This window comes from Homo sapiens, chromosome 4 (genome assembly GCF_000001405.40).
Source record: "Homo sapiens chromosome 4, GRCh38.p14 Primary Assembly".
Taxonomy (NCBI): domain Eukaryota; kingdom Metazoa; phylum Chordata; class Mammalia; order Primates; family Hominidae; genus Homo; species Homo sapiens.
In genome coordinates, this window is record NC_000004.12 from 104,116,854 (window position 1) to 104,139,328 (window position 22,475).

At 34.1% G+C, this 22,475-nt stretch overlaps 1 annotated feature.

The window, feature by feature from the left end:
• Positions 11,999 to 12,293: an enhancer, noted in NCBI's record as "tiled region #10992; HepG2 Activating DNase matched - State 8:EnhW". NCBI's record gives its function as "activates a minimal TATA promoter and a strong SV40 promoter by Sharpr-MPRA in HepG2 cells {active_cell/tissue: HepG2}" and the evidence as "EXISTENCE:reporter gene assay evidence [ECO:0000049][PMID:27701403]".

Genomic DNA, 22,475 nt, shown 5'->3' on the forward strand with positions numbered 1-22,475 from the left:
AACTAAAGATTATGGAGCCAGTTCCCACATGCTGCATCAACAGGAATTGGGAGTCAGACAAGCTAGAGATATATGAAGAAGTGAATAAGCCAGTACACTAAGGATAAAATGAATTAATCTGAAGCTATTAAAGAAGCTTTGTCAGGTACTTAGTATGCTCATGTTTTAATTCCTTATGCCTATTCTCCTTGGTTGCAATTCTCTTTCAAAAAATTTATAAAGAAATTTTTTCACTTTGGATTACTTTTCCTATTCCAATAGGTCAAATTCATATTGGCCTTTATCCACTCCCATCCAATCTCCACTTCAATAATTAGGAAGTAGACTACTACAGATTTTGACATTATTTTAATCCCAAACACCATTTGCTACTTCATCAAAATATTAGGTTATACAATATTGATTATAATTTTTAGGTCAGAAATAGTTTAGGGATTTCATATAGTTCAACCTAGTATTAGGGCACTCCCACAATATTGTGTATCTAATAAGCCTGTAAAATGGACAATAATAACATACTCTGTATGGCAATCAAAGAGCTTTTATAGTATCAATAATATGTATTTATAAAGAGATGCTTCTTCTGAGCTGGTAAGTAAGCTATAGGAATTATCTAATATTATCTAATGCATGGTCCATATTCATACCCCAAAGTACTTACAACAACATTTGCACTACTCCAAACTGTACACTAATGGTGACTAATAGAGCCTAGAAACATTCCTACGACCAGTTTGGGTATTCTCTAGGAGTATGTTTCAGGGTAAAACTCTTGTCTCTTCATTACATCTCTTCCTCTGTAAGATTGGGTGATTGGAAAATAGATATTATAAATGAGCATTAATATTTTTAAAATATTTTCTATCACAACTAACATACAATTTCTAGTGAAATATCACCTTGAGTATTTGAGGATGCAGTCACATGAATAATAGAAACAAAGTTAAAATCATTAAATCAATCTCAAAATTTTTAGGTTGGCTAATTTGAGGCCTTAAATCCATCTCAACATTTTTATGTTGGATACTCTGGGGCCTGTTTGTGCCACTGCACAAGAAAAATGGCTTAGTTTGGCATGTGGGATGAGGGGGAGAAAAGCATCCAAGAAGAGAAATTGGATAAAGTTAGATGTTTTGTGATTGTAGCTACTGAACATGTTTTAGACTGGCAGAATATGCTCTACGATATTGGAATACCATCAAAATTCATTTAAATTATGCCAGAGAAATGTTAAATGGTGATGAGAAGGCTGAGATTTAAGCTGATAAATGCAGTAAAGACCTACCCACAATGACAAATTTGATGAGGGGTTCTGACCTAGCAGATCACTCAAGGAATGGAAGTCTTTATGTTATTCACAAGGGTGGGAAAAAGCTATTCCCATCCCCACCTCCAACTCGTGCTGGAATATTTTACAGTCCAATTACATCCAAAGGAAGAACCAATCTGATTTATAACCTGTGGGACACATGGAGAAAATTGTATAAATTTGTATGACTACTAATGGAAATGTTGGCTTTTGTTTTTAGGTGATGAATATTTTATGTCCAAAAATATAATAGTAAATAATTTACCAGAAGTAATTTTTTTCTCTTTTTGTAAACTTCATGAAAAAGGCAGAGAGAGGATACGTGTGAAAGAAGGGAGAAAGGAGAAGAAGGGAAGACAGAAGAATAAAGTCATAAAGTGAGACATGCTAAAAAAAGGATGAAAGTAAGTAATGGGAGTAGAAAAAAAGGAGACAGAAGAAACCCTTTGCCTAATTAAAAAAAGAAGGAAAGATAGAAGAGAGTAGGCTATGAAGGTGAAAGACAAGCAAGCAAACTAGCTTTTAGTCGAATATGTAAACATAATGCTATATTATGGAAAATTATCAGGAGGCCAAATGAAAGTAATTATTAAAAAAAACTTTCTGCAATTATATGCACTTTCTAAAAGTAGTATCATAATTTAGATTACTGAACATTCTCATAATGCTTTCTTCTTTTTATTTTATTTCCAATGGAAATAGGTGGCCCAATTTAGATCAGTGAAAATTCGCATAATGCTTTCTTCTTTTTATTTAATTTTATTTCCAGTGAAAATAGGTGGCCCATAGATAGTGGAGCCAACTCCACTACATGGATTTGGAAAGACAAGGCACAAAGTGAATTATGTGATAAAGGCTAGGAAAATCAAAATGTTCTATACAAGTCAATGGAATAGGAGGACTAGCCAACATAGTAAAAGACTGACGTGCAAACTGTGAAAAAGTCCAGGACTTTTTTTTTCTTTCTTACATTGGGGTTGTCTGGTTTTAACTGGTTTGTAGTACTGTGGCAAAGATTTGTTTGCTCAGAATTTCAGTAAGCCTATTACTTGAAGATATATGTGTGAGTGCTTTACGGAGTCAAGGAAAGTGTTTGAAAACCATGTAGTTTAGTGTAGTTTAATGAGTGACAACATATTTAAGTCAGTGAAATTGTATACGCCAAATGAACAAAATCAATGGAATCCAGCAGAACTTAGGAGGTAAAATTCAGACAAAATTAGTAAAAACTTGAGGACAGTCACAAGATACTAAGTAGAGCCTTCAAGTACTCTAACAGATCTCTAGGAACAGAGACCCAGTTAATTTTGAATACTATTTTAAAGTTTTGTTCAGGATTATCTAAACTCTGGAACAATACCCAGATGCAGCTTGAATTAAATCAATCCCCTACACATTAGCCAGGAATCATTCCCAGTCTGACTCCCAAATAATTGATTGATGGAGCAAGAAATAAAACAGTGTAAATTGGTATGGGTTGTCTATGATGGCACTGAAAACACCTCCTCATATTAAGAAAAAAATTTTAGAAACCACTCAGAAACAGATCCTAGGACCATTCAAAGCCTCAGCAAATGAGACTGGGTGATCCATCCAGAAATTCAGATGTGTGTGATATTGTAAATTTACTAGTGTTCCCTCATAAAGTATCAGAAAAGGAATAACTCAGTCACAATAGATATAGTAAAATATTTGATAAAATTTAACATCCCTTCATGACAAAAACTGTAAACAAATAAGGTATACAAGAAACACATCTCAGTGCAATAAAGGCCATATAACACAGCTAAAATCATACTGAACAGGGAACAGTTGAAATATTTTTTCTTTAATATTTGGAATGAGAAAAAGATGCTACCTTTCCACCACTTTCACTCAACGTAGTTCTGGAAGTCCTAGCCAAAGTATTTAAGCAAGAGAAAGAAATAAAGCATATGCATATTGAAAAGAAGAAAGTCAAATTGTCCCTGTTTGTAGACGTCATGATTTTACCTCACGTTGATAAAGAAAACTCTATACACTGTACTGTTGGAACTAATGAACAAATTCAGTAAAGTTGCAGAATTACAAAATCGACATACAATAATAGGTAGTATTTTTTATGCCAACAGCAAAATATTTTTTTTAAAAAGAAGGTAATCCCATTTACAATAGCTACCAAGAAAAAAAAAAGAAGTAAATTTAACCAAGGAGGTCAAATATTTCTACAATAAAAACTGTAAAACATTGATAAAAGAAACTATGAACAGCAATAAATGAAAAGATATCTCATGTTCATGGATTGGAAGAATTAATATTGTTAAAATGTCCACACAACCCAAAGTGATCTATACATTCAATGAAATCCCTATCAAATCACCATTGAGATTCTTCACAGAAATAAAAAAACTCAATCCTAAAATTTGTATAGAATCACAAAAAAACTTGAAGTACCAAAACAATCATGAACAAAATATAAAAAAGAAAACATGGCAAAAAACAAAACTGGAGGCATCACAATGCCTGACTTTACAAAGCAACAATAACCAAAACAGCATGGTTCTGGCATAAAAACAGATAAGTAGACCAATGGAAAAAAACAGAGAACCTAGGTGTAATTTAATGCATTCATGCCCAACTGATTTTCGTTAAAGTTGCCAAGAATGCACATTGAAGAAAGGACAGTCTCATCAATAAAACTTCCTGGAAAAACTAGATATCCATAGGCAGAAACATGAAACTAGACCCCTATCTCTCACCAGTTACAAAAATCAACTCAAAATGGATTAAAGACTTAAATATAAGACCTGAAACTATGAAATTACTAGAACTAGGGGAAATATTTTATGACATTGATCCAGGCAACGATTTTTTTGTTTGTTTTTGTTTCTGTTATTTTGTTATTGTTGTTGTTATAGAATAGATGTTATTTTGTACCTTAGAAAAGCATAGCATAATATCTGCCTTGTAGATTTGGCAATCATTACTAAGTGAGCAAGCATGTTTTGGATAAGACCTCAAAAGCACAAGCAACAAAAGCAAAATAGATAAATGGGATTACATAAAACTAAAATCTTCTGCCCAGCAAAGGCAACAATCAACAGAGTAAAGGAACAACATACAGTATGGGAGACAAAATTCACAAACTTTGCATCTGACAAGGAATTAATCCCAACAATATGTAAGGAACTCAATTCAAAACAACAAACCAAATAAACAAATTTAAAAATGAGCAAAAGATTTGAATAGACCCTTATCAAATGAAGACAAATGGCTAACAAGTATATGAGAAAATGCTCAATATCACTAATCATCAGGGAGCACAAATTAATAACAATGAAATATCACCTCACCCCTCTTAGAATGGATACTATCAAAAAGATAAAAATATAATAACTGCTGGTGAGGATGTGGAGAAAGGGGAGCTCATATAAACTGTTTGTGGAAATGTAAATTAGTATAGCCATTATGGACCACAGTATGAATGTTCCTCAAAAAATTAAAAATAGAATTATCATTTGATCTGACAACCCCACTACTGAGAATATACCCAAAGAAAATGAAATCAATACATTGAACAGATATGTGCATACTACGTTCATTGCAGCACTATTCACAACAGGCAAAACATGAAATCAATCTAAGTGTCCACCAATAGATGAATAAATTTGAAATGTGGTATATATATATATATATATACACACACACACACACACACACACGCACACACGCACACACACACAATGGAATACTATTTAACCATAAAAAGAAATGAAATTCTGTCATTAGTGACCCCCTGGAGGGACCTAGAGGACATTATGTTAAATGAAATAAGCCAAGCACAAAAGAAAAAATACTGCATGATCTCACTCATATGTGAAATCTAGAAAAGTTGATCTAATAGAAATAAAGAGTAGAATAGTGGTTACCAGAGGCGAGGAGAATAGGGGGTGTGTAGGATAATAAGAGGTTGGTCAATGAGTACAAAGTTGCAGTTAGATTGAAGGAACAAGTCCTAGTGTTCTACAGCACAGTATGGTGACTATAGTTAGCAACAATGTACTATATGTTACAAAACAGCTAGAAAAGAGGATTTTGCATGTTCTCAAATCAAAGAAATGACAAATGTTTGAGGTGATAGATTTGTTATTTACAAGTAACAAATTTGATCATAATACAATGTATACATGGATCAAAACATCACACTGTATTCTATAAATATGTACAATTATCATCTGTCAAATAAAAACAAGATAAAAGTGAAAAGTGACAATATTGGAAATTATGAATGAATCCAGGGCTGGAGTCTGTTATGGAAGAGAAATGACAGTAAGAGATACACGTATGGAATAGTCAATAGCTTTTGCCTTATTTCATTTGGGGCCTCTAATAAAGTAGAAATGTACTCAGTAGGGGCAGTGCTGGAAACAAGAGGGAGAGATTTATGAATTTTACTAGGAATATGTCCATGAAATTTTATGGGAAAATAAGATCTCAGAAAAAAAGAAAGAGGTTTAGAAATTCTATGAGTATTAGGAGTTATATATATTTTCTTTTTTTAGCTTTTATTTTAAGTTCAGGGGTACATGTGCAGGTTTGTTACATAGGTAAATGTGTGTCCATCCATGTCCTTGCAAAGGATATGATCTCCTATTTTTATGACCGCATAGTATTCTATGGTATATATGTACCACATTGTCTTTAATCAGTCTATCATTGATAGGCATTTAGGTTGATTCCATGTCTTTGCTATTGTGCATAGTGCTGCAATGAACATATTCATTCATGTTTCTTTATAACAGAATGTTATACTTTCCTTTGGGTATATACACAGTAATGGGATTGCTAGGTCAAATGGTATTTCTGTCTTTAGCTCTTTGAGGAATTACCACACTGTCTTCCACAATGGTTGAACTAATTTGCACTCCCATCAAGAGTGTATAAGTGTTCCTTTTTCTCCACAACCTCGCCAGCATCGGTTATTTCTTGACTTTTTAATAATAGCCATTCTGACTTGTGTAAGGCAGTATCTCATTGTGGTTTTGATTTGCATTTCTCTAACGATCAGTGAAAAACACTCCTCCACAAATGCAAAACAACTGAATCATAATAAGCAGTCTCTCAGACCACAGCACAATCAAATTAGAACTCAAGACTACGATATTCACTTAAAACCATATTACATGGAAATTGAATAACCTGATCCTGAATGTCTTTTGGGTAAGTAATGAAATTAAGGCAGAAATCAAGAAGTTCTTTGAAACTAATGAGAACTAAGATACAACATACCAGAATTTCTTGGACACAGCTAAGGCCATTTTATGAGGGAGATTATAGCACTAAATGCCCACATAAAGAGTTATAAAGATCTCAAGTTAACAACCTAGCATTACAACTAAAAGAACTAGAGAACCAAGAGCAAACAAATCCCAAAACTAGAAGAAGACAAGAAATAACCAAAATCAGAGCTAAAATGGATGAGGTAGAGAACATGAAAAATCATTCAAAAGTTCAATAAATTCAGATTTTTTTGTAAAAAATTATAAAATAGATTAGACCACTAGCCAGACTAATAAAGACAAGAGGGAATATTTAAATAGGCACAATCAGAAATGAGAAGGGGTATTTTACCACAGACCCCACAGAAATGCAAACAACCATCAGAGAATAATATAAACATTTTTATGCACACGAACTAGAAAATCTAGAAGAAATGGATGTATTTCTGGACACATAAACCCTCCCAAGACTGAACCAGGAAGAAATTGAATGCCTGAACAGACCAATAATGAGTTCTGAAATTGAGGCAGTAATAAATACCCTACCAACAAAAAAAGCCCAGAACCAGATGGATTCACAGCTGAATTCTACCAGCTGTGCAAAGAAGAGCTGGTGCCATTCCTAATGAAACTATTCCAAAAAATCAAAAAGGAGGGACTCCTCCCTAACTCATTCTATGAGGCCAGCATCATCCTAATTTCCAAACCTGAGCAAGACACAACAAAAAAAGAAAACTTCAGGCTGATATCCTTGATTAAAATGCATGCAAAAATCCTCAATGAATACTGGAAAAATTGGAAAATGAAATCCAGCACCACATCAAAAAGCCTATCCACCAAGATCAAGTAGGCTTCATGCCCAGGATGCAAGGTTGGTTCAACATACACAAATCAATAAGTGTGATTCATCACATAAAGAGAATCAAAGACAAAAACAACTTGATTATCTCAATAGAGGCAGAAAAGGCTTTTGACAAAATTCAACATCCCTTCATGTTAAAAACTCTCAATAAACTGGGTATTAAAGGAACATACCTCAAAATAATAAGAGCCATATTTGACAGACCCACAGCCAACATCATACTGAATGGGCAAAAGCTGGAAGAATTCTCCTTGAAAACCAGCACAAGACAAGGATGACTTCTCTCGCCACTCCTACTGAATATATAATTTCAAATGCCACAAGTGATTCAATGTGTATATCTAGCCTTTGAATTGATAGAGAGTGAAGGTAAGTTGGGAAGAATAAATAAAATTTTTTATATTTGAGAAGATAAAAGTATTTCAGGACTTTCAATGTCTTTTTCAAAGAAGAGTACAGAAAGACATTCTTGGTAAAGTTATACCAGATTCCAAGTTATTAGTCATGATCTCTATAGTGAAATTTATCTGAAAAAAAAAATACCTTGCTGGGAAATAACAAATGTTGGTGAGGATGTGGAGAAAAGAGAAACCTTGTACACTGTGGGAATGTAAATTAGTACAACCACTATGGAGAACAGCTTGGAGGTTCTCAAAAAACTAAAACATGAGCTACAATATGATCCAAATATCCCACTGCTGGGCATATACTCAAATGAATGGAAATCAGTATACAGATACATTTGCATGCCTATGTTTGTTGCAGCACTGTTTACAATAGTTAAGATTTGGAAGCAACCTAAGTGTCCATCCACAGATAAATGAATAAAAACAATGTGATACATATACACAATGGAGTACTATTCAGCCATAAAAAGAATGAGATCCAGTCATTTGCAACAACATAGATGGAAATGGAGGTCATTACATTAAGTGAAATAAGCCAGGAACAGAAAGACAAATATCGCATGTTCTCACTTATTTGTGGGATCTAAAAATTAAAACAATTGAACTCGGACATAGAGAATAGAAGAATGGTTACCAGAGGCTGTTAAGGGTAGTGGGGGTTTGTGGGGCAGTTGGGGATGGTTAATGAGTGCAGAAAGTAGAAAGAATGAATAAGGCCTACTATCTGATAGCACAACAGGATGACTATAGTCAATAATCACTTAACTTGACATTTTAAAGGAACTTAAAGAATGTAGCTGGATTGTCTGTAACTCAAAGGATAAATGCTTGAGGGGATGGATAACCCATTTTTCATGATACGCTTATTTCACATTACATGCCTGTATCAAAACATCTCATGTGCTCTATTAGTATATATGCCTAATATGTACCAACAAAAAGTTTAATACATAATAAAAAATTAAGAAAAAGAAATAGCCTGCTGAAAGATACTGAATAGTTTGCCAAACTCTTCTTGTTAGTAAAAGTAACTTGCAGAAATAATAGAACAAGCTAACCCTATTTGTTCTTAGGAACCAAGATAGAACAGCAAAGTAGAGCAGAATTGAGATTGGAAGCTTTGGGTAAAATTTGAAAAGTGGTCTCAAAAAATTTTTTTTGAAAAGTGGGCATAGAGTTGAGTATTATTCCATTATGTAAGTTGAAGTCCTTACCAACTCAAAATCCTAGGAAATTGCGATAAGCCAGTCTTATCAATTTGCTCCTGGTACATATCAAATGACTATTACAGAATAGATGTGACCAATCTATCAATGAAACCACAGTGATTAAAAAAAAACTGTAGTCTATAGGGGTGGTTTGGGAAAATAAAACTGTACTGCAGACATTCATGTCTCAGGGACACAGAAACTTGGAGCATAGAAAAAATAGCTAAGGATTCCCCTTAAAATGGAAGAGGTGCTTCCCTGCTCTAAATGAAACTGTAGGGCAAAACCACAGACTCTATTAAAACAGGAATGACTGTTCTATTACATTATGATCATTGGTAGAGTATTTTAAACAGACATACGTTGTTAGAATCTGACTCTCTTGGGTAGAGACTAGACCAACTAGGATAAAGCCAAACTCAGTAAACCACTCTGAGCCCTTGGGAGAGTAAATTCACACCGTTTTTTCTCTTCTTTATAAGAGGTTAACATTTTAGAGAGAGAAGCTGGAGGGAACCTGATCTCCTCCCAAAGATTCTGCTGTAATGTGTGGGGCTCAGAAACCCAAAAAGAGCACACATCTAAAGAGGAGGAGATTATGGCCAGGATGTAGGCTAACTTCATGGCCATATTAAACCTTTATATTGTATATTTGAGACAAGGGTTGTTGTGTCCCTTAGCCACTCAAATTCTAGAGGTGAGAGAGACTCAGAATCGAAAAGTGGCACATTGGAGGAGAGGACAAGAAGTAATTAATTGTTTCAAGTTATCCAGTTAATAGAAAAGAACTGGGAAGAATTTCTGTAAACAGAAATTGAGACACTATTTTGTAAAATGTAAATGGTACTGAGAAGTCAGTTGAAGAAAATAGGATCAAACAATGCCTAAAAATGGGGGACAAAGACTTCGTCCTTCAAGATGATAATCTAAATGCAAGACCTTGTGAACCATGTGGTCTATCCAAAGAGGTACTAAAAGAACTAGATGCTGCAATACTATCAGAGATGTAAAAAATTTAAAGTTTCTGGAAGAGAACGACTAAAACCGTCATTTATGCCAGTTATAATAATAAATGTAAGTGACTAGACTCTAAGGGAAAAGGCAGTGTTTGTCAGACTGCATGCAATTTATTACTAGGAAGAGAAAATCTTTGTCACAATTGACATGTTCACTAATATAGAAAACCCAAAAGAAGAAACTGAGTAATTATTAGAATCTTAAAGGGTGTTGTGTGTTTGCTGGATATAAGATGAATGTGTGAATATAAATTGCATTTTTATGTATTCTTCAAAAATTATAAAACATGCTCTAAGTTATTTTCAATAAAAACAAAAAAATGCATAGGGATAAATCTAGCAAAATATGTGAAGATCTTCATGTAGAAAATATTTTAAACTATTAAAAGGAATTAAATAAGAACTGTGGATCTTATTTAATTATAAGTAAATGGAGAGATTGAGAAATAAATAAATGGAGAGATTGAGTTTGGTCATGGATAAGAAGATTTGATGCCATAAAATAGGCAATTATTCCCAAACTGATATATTGATCCAATGAATTGTAATAAAAATCCAAATAAAATTTTTGTCCCTAAGATTTGGCATGCTGATTTTAAGATTTATATGGAATATCAAAAAGTTATGAGTAGCTAAGAATTTGTAAGGAAAAATAGAAATGTAAGAAGGCTTACTCTAGATATCAAGAATTATAAGGTGAAAGTGATTAAGATGTCAAGGTTGTGGCACAAAAATGTAAAATATGATCAATGAAACACAACCAGGGGCCTAAAACCATATCATCCATATACTGACATTTAAAATATTATACTCTTTTGTTCAATTGTTTGTTTGTTTTGGAAGTTAAATAGAGAAAAGTTGCAGAATTTAATTAATAGTATTGACAAAATAAGTTTATTATATGAAAAAAAAGAGGAAGGAATTCCCTAAATTATCTATTTACAAAAAAAAATTAATGAGATCACACATCATAGCACATACAGACATTATTCCCAGATTAAGTTTCCATGAGTTTGAGATTAGACCCATGGATCCTGGGACAGTTAATTTTATGAGTCCACTTGACTAGGCCACAGGATCCGAGATAGTTCCTTGAATTAGTCTGGGTATTTCTGTGAGGGTATTTTTGATGAGATTAACATTTAAAGTTATAGACTGAGTAAAGAAAATTGTCCATAATGTGTGTAGGCCCCTTCCAATCACTTGAAAGCCTAAATAGAGTAAAAAGCTGACCCTTCTCCAAGTAAGAGAATTCTCTTGCCTGACAGCCTTCAAACTGTAGCACTGGCTCTTCCTGGTTCTACAGAAGCTACTAGTTTTACAGCTAGAACTAAGACACTGACTGTGTGGATTTTGGACTTGCTACTCACCACAATTATGTGAACGAATTCCTTATAATAAATCTTTATTATCTGTATATATAGCTCCTATTAGTTCTGTATCTAGGGAGAATTATGAATACTACAAGAACTATAATGCTTTCAAAAATTTAAACCTAAGCTTAATACAGGAAATTAATTTGCTGTTTTAATGATTGCCATCAAAATTGTCCCAGCTACAAAACATGGATTCTAGTAAAAAGAGTGTGTAAACAAGAATTTAGTGTTTGTGGTATTGATAAGATTCCATATGTGGTTTTACAATTGGAAGGAATCCAAGAGTTTTCTATTAAATACTCTTCATGTGTCTTCAGGTCTACAAATGCAGCCCTGTTGCTTTGTGTTCAGGAGCCATGTACTCAAGAACACAGGGAAAAACAACACTGTACCACAGTGTTGATATTAAAGGGTTTAAGTATACCTGGTGCTAAGAAGTATTAAATAAACACCCTACAGACTTAAAAATTAGGGAAGATTTCTCCTTTCATGTAATACTCCTTCAGTTTCAATTAGGATATTTTGGGAGAATCTGCATTGTTAATAATACCTTGCTGATGATTTTAATATCTAGTAAAGAATGATTAGCTAAAGGGGGAAAAGCTAAAATCTAGCATAAGGCAACTGATCCAAAAGGCAAACAACTGTGGAGGATGGGAAGAAAGAGAAGTAAATATCCCACAGTGTTATGACTAAGGGTTGCTGAGTATTTCTGTGCTCCTGTGTGTACTGAGAGCCTGTAACAGCTGGGGGAGGAATTAATCATTAACTTTCACCAGACTAAAATAGGTTAAAAACTGAGGGAAGAACCTCAGCAAAAACTGATAGTCAGGGAAAGGGCTGAAGACTGAAAAAAGATTGCTGTATTTTAGAATATGCTTTTCAAATTAAAAAGTGGATGAAGAAATGAAAGAACCATTGAGTAGGGGAAAGGTCAGAGAAAGCAGACTGATAATAGAGTTTGGCAAGATTAATTAATTTCCAACTTGCTTCCTTTCGGAAAGGACAACAATCTATATATGAAAATGATAAAAAAAAAAGTGTCATCGTAGAAGAGAAGCCCTGAATAGGAGATAATAAAAATTCTCTTCAAGATCACTGAAGAGGTTCCTGCCTGCCACTCCATGCACATATACGCCTGTGCCAGCAGCACTGTGCCATTGCAAGGCATGAAATCGGCCATGCTCCTTCATACCTCTTTGACAAGCCAGAAAACTAAGGCCATATTTCTACCAAGAACCAGCCTTTACATCTTGCAAACTCCACTTTTTCTGCTAATCAATATTTTCTTTTGCCGAATAAAGTTTTTGCTGAAGCACCATCACCTCTAAGAAACCCCACATTGTGTTGAGATAATTTTCTACCAATTGCCTCATACCATATGTATATCTCTATTATTGTACATACTCATTTTGTAATATTTCTATTGCTAGTATATCTCTACCTTGAACTTTAAATTCCTAGAATTTAAAAATAATGTCTCTCTTCTTTATATCCTAGTTCAACAGAAGAGTGCAGGGAATGAAACACATGTTAAATATATATATATAAATACACACACACACACACACACACACACACACACACACATTGAATTAGTTTGCTAGGGCTGCCATAACAAAATACCATATACTAGGTGGCTTAAGCATCAGAATTTTATTTTCTCACAGTGCTGAAAGCTAGAATTCCAAGATAAGGCAGGTTTGGCTTCTTCCGAGACCTCTCTTCTTGGTGTGCAGATGGTCACCTTCTCACTGTGTCCTCACAGGGTCTTTCTTCTGTGCATGCACATCCTTGGTGTCTCTTTGTGTGTTCTAGTCTCCTTTACTTGCAAGAACACCGATGAATTTGGATTAGGATCCATCCTAAAGACCTCATTTTAACTTAATAACCAAACTAGAGGATCTATCTTCAAATATAGTCACATTATGAGGTACCGGAGATGAGGACTTCAACATAGGAATTTTGGAGACACAATTCAACTCGTGATAGGTAGGTAGGTAGACAGATAGATAGATAGATAGATAGATAGATAGATAGATAGATAGATAGATAGATACATAGATACATAGATACATAGATAGATAGATACATAGATACATAGATAGAGAGGGATAGATGATAGTATCAAATGAAGCAACAAATTAATTGATTATATTCCAATTATATAACGTGACTGTGACAAAAGTTAATAATAAAAAATGAATTTGCAAGTACGCTTGTGACATGCAAATGTGCCAATAATGTTCTAAACTTGTGGGGCAAGGAAGGTTGATTACGACAGCTGTAGATGGAAAAGCTACAAGGGTTTGCACAGTGCTTCATGTTGTGGCTCAGTTTATCATTTCAGCCTCTTCTTTTCCCTACCTGTATACTCTCTTCACTCCAACTATACCAAATGTACTCATTCTGGTTATAGTTCATATTTCCTTTGCTTGTATTTTTTTAAATGTTAGTTTCTTTCTACTAAACTCTCTTCCTCCCCAGTGAGGTTATCCTTCAAATCTTTGCTTGGATATTTACTTTTATTTTTTCTATGATATATTCATTAATTCATTGTCCCCTCACACACAAACAATCTAGGTAACATACATCATGAAATTTTTTCTGCAATTGGACCTATTACATTATAATTGTCTTCTTGCCCATAATACCAACCAGACTCATAACTCTAGAAAAGAGGCTGTGTTTTCCTTGTTTACACATTTTTTCTTATCACATGGTAAAATACATAAAATATAACAATTATCAATTAATATTTGTAAAACAAATCAACCTAAAATATATATAGGAAAATGGAAGGGTTGACATTAGAACCAATACAGGCTCACAGAGAACAAATCATGCAGAAGTAACTTCATTTCTGTTTTCACAGGATTAGATGGCTAGTGGAACATGAAGGGTGCTTTCAACAATTTGACAGGCAAAATATCCATTTATTTACACTTGTGTTAAAGGTATAGAAATACCAGATGGTAGCACAATTATCTGATGTTAAATACGTTTAGAGATTAAGAGTTATGTCAATCTAAATAGAGCCCCATTTGTAATAAGTCACAGAGTTTCTTTAATAAACTCTGTGGAATGTTTCTAACAATTAAGGCATAGAAAATTTGCTTGTTACATAGGAATGGTTAATTTATCAGATAACAAATTCAGTGCTAATAATGATTTTAGGAGAATGAAAGAGTTGTTATCGTTTGAGAATTATAAGATTGAAATGCTACGGATTGAATTTAGTATAAAATCAGTTATATAAGCAAAATATGAAAAAGATCTATATGTATCTGGAAACTGAACATAGAAAGCAATATAATACAGCTGTACATTTTACTTGAACCTAGGCAAATAATTAATTCATTTTAGAAACTATAATAATAGGTTAGGTTTTTAATGTATTTATACAACAGTACTATGATAGATGTTTTATATATATTATTTAATTTACTCAATAACTCTAAAAGTAAGCTTTATAGCTATTCATATTTCAACACTGAGAAAGCTGTGGTTTAAAAGTATAATTTATTCATTCAAAGTTACACAGGTAATATGTTGTATAAAGAATTTTGAATCTATGCCTTTCTGTTTCTTAACTTCACAATTTTAAATACTCGATAATTTTAAATACAATTTAATTTCACAACTAAATACACAGCTATACGTTCTAGTTTATCGCTCTGGAATCCAAGGCAGATTTCTATCATTTATTATAAGAACCCTCGATTTTTCTCAGCTGGAATTTGGGATGCTGTAATCTGAAGAAACATGATTATGACTTCATTTCACAGCTAATTTCTTAAATATTTTAGCACATTAGAAATATTTTGTTTCCAAAGGTCTTTTTTTTAAAGGTAGAAGAGTGAGTGTGGTAAACACATTGTACTTCCAAATTTTGAATGCCAAAGCAATAACTAGTTTGTATTTGTTTTTAAAGCAGACTAAAAACTCTCATTCTGCTGCCTTGTTGCTGTTCACTTTCATTTTGTTTTTATTTTTTTGAAAGCAGTTAACCAGCTGCACCTTCATTGAGCCTAGAAGATACAGTCTCATATATGAAAACACTTGTAACATATGGTTTTTAAGAATAAATTATTCTAGTTTTAGGAATAGTAGTTTTAATTGGTTTCAAAATACCTATAATTGTATAAAATTTAAATAAATATTTCCTACTCTTTTAATAAATTATTATTCATTTAATTTATTTAATTTTTATCTTTGGATTCTCATTTCACCAAAGCAGGAAATTTCTGTGATTCAAATATAATAAAACTAAAAACAATATAAAATTATAAATAAAAATAGGTCTGACTAATATCAATTTAATAATTAAATTTTCTATCTTATACTCTACCGTAAAGCTAAATTATACAATCTTCCATTATCTCCAAGTTTTCTGAAATCCTCAATTTTCCCACAACTCACCATAATCCTGTAACTATGCACATTGTCAACAAACATCAGGGACCATCTGTTTTCCTTCTCACATTCTTCTTTCCTGATCCTTTAGGGTTCAGGCCTGCATGCTTCCAAGATACCCAGAGAGTTAACTGAAATCCTTATCTAATATGGATTCAGCAACAAAGACTGACTTGGTATTTCTGAATTATCATGGACCTAATATATCAACTTAATTGAGCCATTTAGTTACTAAATGCACTACCCCAAACCCAACAAAAACTCAAGTCAGTAAGCAAAATAATTGTAGTAAGATAAAATAAATTAATAAATAAAAACTTTAAAAGTACAAAGGAGGCAAACTCATTGTCCTGATTATCTTTGTAATTTTGGACTAAGGGCTATACATTTTGCTAAAGAGAAATGCAGCACTTTCTTCTGGACTTATTCCCTTTACTTGGATTCATATAATACTTTTCAAACTTGATTCTAATGATTATATTTATCCCTTTTAACACATTTCTTCTCAATTAAATACTTATTTCTTTCCAACCAATTTATTGGTAAGCACCCCAAAATACACATGTACAATTTGGCTAGCACTGGAAACAAGAACAGCAAAAGAGATGGCCTTTGCAAATTTAATTTTGAGTTTTAATTGATATTTACACCATTGTGGCCAAAATTTGGATTGCTGAAATAATTAGCAATTTGAGTGTTGGGAATTCTAAAAAGGAAGTAAATCACTCTATATACCTGCTAGACTGGAAGTGACACACATCACCACTTAAATTCCGTTGTTTTATACCTTAAAACAAAATAAAGAGTTTTGACTTGTAGTTCAGTATAAACCTAGAAAATGTTCAAAATTCTTTTAAATTAGTTACTTATGGTAAAGAAACATCATCCATGCTGTTTGCATATATTGACTGCATGGTATTCTACATTGCCTCCTACAAAGACTACTCATTAAAGCCAGGAAATTAACGTGGCCCTTAAATTTTAAGCTATGTTTTGTTAATGCAAAAATTATGTTGATTTTGTGAATCTCACCCTTTCAGATAGTACTGTTGTTATTCTTGTCTGTATTAATTTCATAGAAGGCTTAAGCGGGAATAAACCTGTAATTGTGGTTCAACTCAACTAGGTATTTAAAATGTTTTTCTTTCACTTAGTAATGGAATATTGTCAAAGGTCAATATGTGTTATGGCATGGATGAGAGCAGTCTTTGTACTATTTATTTTTTGGATGAAATCAATATTCTATGTATTATACTGTATACTTAGCATATAAACTAGTGAACAAGATAGCTCTCTTGCCTTCAAGAAGCTTACCACAGACGTTTAGAAAGATATAATATTTCCTAATGCTATCCCTCCCCCAGCCCCCCACCCCATGACAGGCCCCAGTGTGTGATGTTCCCCATCCTGTGTCCAAGTGTTCTCATTGTTCAATTCCTACCTATGAGTGAGAACATGCAGTGTTTGGTTTTCTGTCCTTGTGATAGTTTGCTCAGAATGATGGTTTCCAGCTTCATCCATGTCCCTACAAAGGACATGAACTCATCCTTTTTTATGGCTGCATAGTATTCCATGGTGTATATGTGCCACATTTTCTTAATCCAGTCTATCATTGATGGACATTTGGGTTGGTTCCAAGTCCTTGCTATTGTGAATAGTGCTGCAATAAACATACGTGTGCATGTGTCTTTATAGCAGCATAATTTATAATCCTTTGGGTGTATACCCAGTAATGGGATTGCTGGGTCAAATAGTATTTCTAGTTCCAGATCCTTGAGGAATCGCCACACTGCCGTCCACAATGGTTGAACTAGTTTACAGTCCCACCAACAGTGTAAAAGTGTTCCTATTTCTCCACAGCCTCTCCAGCACCTGTTACTTCCTGAGTTTTTAATGATCGCCATTCTAACTGGTGTGAGATGGTATCTCATTGTGGTTTTGATTTGCATTTCTCTGATGGCCAGTAATGATGAGCATTTTTTCATGTGTCTCTTGGCTGCATAAATGTCTTCTTTTGAAAAGTGTCTGTTCATATCCTTCGCCCACTTGTTGATGGGGTTGTTTGATTTTTTCTCGTAAATTTGTTTAAGTTCTTTGTAGATTCTGGATATTAGCCCTTTGTCAGATGGATAGATTGTAAAAATTTTCTCCCATTCTGTAGGTTGCCTGTTCACTCTGATTGTAGTTTCTTTTGCTTTGCAGAAGCTCTTTAGTTTAACTGGATTCCATTTGTCAATTTTGGCTTTTGTTGCCATTGCTTTTGGTGTTTGAGTCATGAAGTCCTTGCCCATGTCTATGTCCTGAATGGTATTGCCTAGGTTTTCTTCTAGGGTTTTTATGGTTTTAGGTCTAACATTTAAGTCTTCAATCCATCTTGAATTAATTTTTGTGTAAGGTGTAAGGAAGTGATTCAGTTTCAGTTTTCTACATATGGCTAGCCAGTTTTCCCAGCACCATTTATTAAAAAGGGAATCCCTTCCCCATTTCTTGTTTTTGTCAGGTTTGTCAAAGATCAGATGGTTGTAGATGTGTGGTATTACTTCTGAGGGCTCTGTTCTGTTCCAATTATCTATATCTCTGTTTTGGTACCAGTACCATGCTGTTTTGGTTACTGTAGCCTTGTAGTATAGTTTGAAGTCAGGCAACATGATGCCTCCAGCTTTGTTCTTTTGGCTTAGGATTGTCTTGGCAATGCGGGCTCCTTTTTGGTTCCATATGCACTTTAAAGTAGTTTTTTTTCCAATTCTGTGAAGAAAGTCATTGGTAGCTTGATGGGGATGACATTGAATCTATAAATTACCTTGGGCAGTATGGCCATTTTCACGATATTGATTCTTCCTATCCATGAGCATGGAATGTTCTAATGTTCTTCCATTTGTTTGTATCCTCTTTTATTTCATTGAGCAGTGGTTTGTAGTTCTCCTTGAAGAGGTCCTTCACATCCCTTGTAAGTTAGATTTCTAGGTATTTTATTCTCTTTGCAGCAATTGTGAATGGGAGTTCACTCATGATTTGGCTCTCTGTCTGTTATTGGTGTATAGGAATGCTTGTGATTTTTACACACTGATTTTGTATCCTGAGACTTTGCTGAAGTTGCTTATCTGCTTTAGGAGATTTTGGGCTGAGACAATGGGGTTTTCTAGATACACAATCACGTCATCTGCAAACAGGGACAATCTGACTTCCTCTTTTCCTAATCGAATACCCTTTATTTCTTTCTCCCGCCTGATTGCCCTGGACAGAATTTCCAACACTATGTGGAATAGGAGTGGTGAGAGAGGGCATCCCTGTCTTGTGCCAGTTTTCAAAGGGAAGGCTTCCAGTTTTTGCCCATTCAGTATGATATTGGCTGTGGGTTTGTCATAAATAGCTCTCATTATTTTGAGATATGTCCCATCAATACCTAGTTTATTGAGAGTTTTTAGCATGAAGCGCTGTTGAATTTTGTCAAAGGCCTTTTCTGCATCTATTGAGATAATCATTTTGTTTTTGTCTTTGGTTCTGTTTATGTGATGGATTACGTTTATTGATTTGCATATGTTGAACCAGCCTTGCATCCCAGGGATGAAGCCCGCTTGATCACGGTGGATAAGCTTTTTGATGTGCTGCTGGATTCGGTTTGCCAGTATTTTATTGAGGATTTTTGCATTGATGTTCTTCAGGGATATTGGTCTAAAATTCCCTTTTTTTGTCGTGTCTCTGCCAGGCTTTGGCATCAGGATGACGCTGGCCTCATCAAATGAGTTAGGGAGGATATCCTCTTTTTCTATTGATTGGAATAGTTTCAGAAGGAATGGTACCAGCTCCTCTTTGTACCTCTGGTAGAATTCGGCTGTGAATCCGTCTGGTCCTGGACTTTTTTTGGTTGGTAGGCTATTAATTATTGCCTCAATTTCAGAACCTGTTATTGGTCTATTCAGGGATTCAACTTCTTCCTGGTTTAGTCTTGGGAGGGTGTATGTGTCCAGGAATTTATCCATTTTTTCTAGATTTTCTAGTTTAATTGTGAGAGGTGTTTCTAATGTTCTGTGATGGTAGTTTGTATTTCTGTGGGATTGGTGGTGATATCCCCTTTATCATTTTTTATTGCATCTATTTGATTCTTCTCTCTTTTCTTCTTTATTAGTCTTGCTAGTGGTCTATCAATTTTGTTGATCTTTTCAAAAAACCAGCTCCTGGATTCATTGATTTTTTGAAGGGTTTTTGTGTCTCTGTCTCCTTCAGTTTTGTTCTGATCTTAGTTATTTCTTGCCTTCTGCTAGCTTTTGAATGTGTTTGCTCTTGCTTCTCTAGTTCTTTTAATTGTGATGTTAGGGTGTCAATTTTAGATCTTTCCTGCTTTCTCTTGTGGGCATTTAGTGCTATACATTTCCCTCTACACACTGCTTTAAATGTGTCCCAGAGCTTCTGGTATGTTGTGTCTTTGTTCTCATTGGTTTCAAAGAACATCTTTATTTCTGCCTTCATTTCATTATGTACTCAGTAGTCATTCAGGAGCAGGTTGTTCTGTTTCCATGTAGTTGAGTGGTTTTGAGTGAGTTTCTTAATCCTGAGTTCCAGTTTGATTGCACTGTGGTCTGAGAGACAGTTTTTATAATTTCTATTCTTTCACATTTGCTGAAGAGTGCTTTACTTCCAACTATGTGGTCAATTTTGGAATAGGTGCGATGTGGTGCTGAGAAGAATGTATATTCCGTTAATTTGGGGTGGATACTTCTGTAGATGTCTATTAGTTCTGCTTGGTGCAGAGCTGAGTTCAATTCCTGGATATCCTTGTTCACTTTCTGTCTCGTTGATCTGTCTAATGTTGACAGTGGGGTGTTAAAGTCTCCCATCATTATTGTGTGGGAGTCTAAGTCTATTTGTAGGTCTCTAAGGACTTGCTTTATGAATCTGGATGCTCCTGTATTGGGTGCATATATATTTAGGATAGTTTGTAAATGACGAGTTAATGGGTGCAGCACACCAACATGGCACATGTATACATATGCTACAAACCTGCATGTTGTGCACATGTATCCTAGAACTTAAAGTATAATAAAAAAGAAAGATATAAAATTTATCCATTTTGAAATAAAGCATCTAAGTGTTATTTCTATCAAGCTTTAAAGTTCTCACATAAGGGTATAAGAACAGTTTTCTCACATAGTATCTTGATTGCTATAAAGGATTTCTAACCTTTGAAGCAAACTGTGGTTATACTAAACCTTCATAGGAAAATTATATAATTTAAAATATGTTATTTCATTAAAACCAATGCTTTTATTGGCTCAGAAGTGATTTATCTTGTATAGCCAACACTAGAGAAACTCCATATCACCAACTAATGAAGCTTCAGAGAAATATAAATGTGGAATTTTTAAAGGTAATGACAATACCTCAAGCCTATAACCAACATAACTCTGCTATGCTCATGAATTACCAGAGTCACTTAGAGTAAGGGAAGGATGTGTTTGTTTACAGTGGGCAGTCATGAATACCTTGCTATGGCTGATTACCATTCTGACTACTAGAAAATGGAACTGTTACACCCAACAGCATCTGCTGTGCTGGAATACAGCAATGCCCAGATTGCCTATTACAAAATTCCAGAGACTATTTGCCAGCAATAGACTTCACATTGCCAATGGGTAATTTGCAGTTTGCTGTGTCATCAGAATCTGAACATGTCGCATCTTTTCCTCATCATGGACAATCCAATGGCAAAGTGCTATTGAAGCAGCTGTGAAGAATGAAAAAAAAAAACTATAGAGGAAGAACAAAGTGACAGCAGACTCCATGCAAATCAGCAGTGGACACAAAATATGCACTCACAAAAGCAATAATGTATAGATCTATGTAGTTCCTGATGCTGTATAATGTGGAAACAATGCTATTCTGCAGCAGATGAAATTTCACAGGTAGATAAATCAAAAGACTGTGAAGAATGAGGAAGAGGTTGTAAAGAGAAATAGTAAAATTTGGAACATTGAAGGTTATATTGTAAAATATAATCTGTACACTAAATAGAAATCACGAAACACATTTTGGTAATTATTTTAGGAAAAAAAACAACAGAAAATGTGTGTGCCACATCTAAATTTTATAATTGTTCACCATTATAAGAACATCCTATTAATTAGATTATGTAGATAGTGCTAAATGTTAGTCAAAATGTGAATGTAATTCCTGAATACTCATGAACTAAAACTAAAGGATAATGACAATACTTCAAGCCTACAGACAACATAACTCTGCTATGCTCATTAGTCACTAGAATCATTTGGAGTAAGGGAGGATGTGTTTGTTTACAGTGGGCAGTCATGAACATGACATAAAATGTATTTCTTCTTTATACATCTCTGTTATTTGAATTGTATCCTAATTTTTTCATATAAATTATTGAAATATTATAAATACCACCAGTATAATTGCTAAATTATAAAACCTTAAATTGTCAGAAACGTAAGAAGTTAGATTTTTACAAGATCTGTTCCTCATGGAAAAAGCCCTTTATAACATCCTTAGCAAATGGTCATTTGCCATCCTTGTGGATATTTGAGTAGTGAAGAATTCACAGCCTCTTGAGGCTACTCAAGAGGCAGTGAGTCTTTCGGCAACACTTATAATCAGCCAATATCATA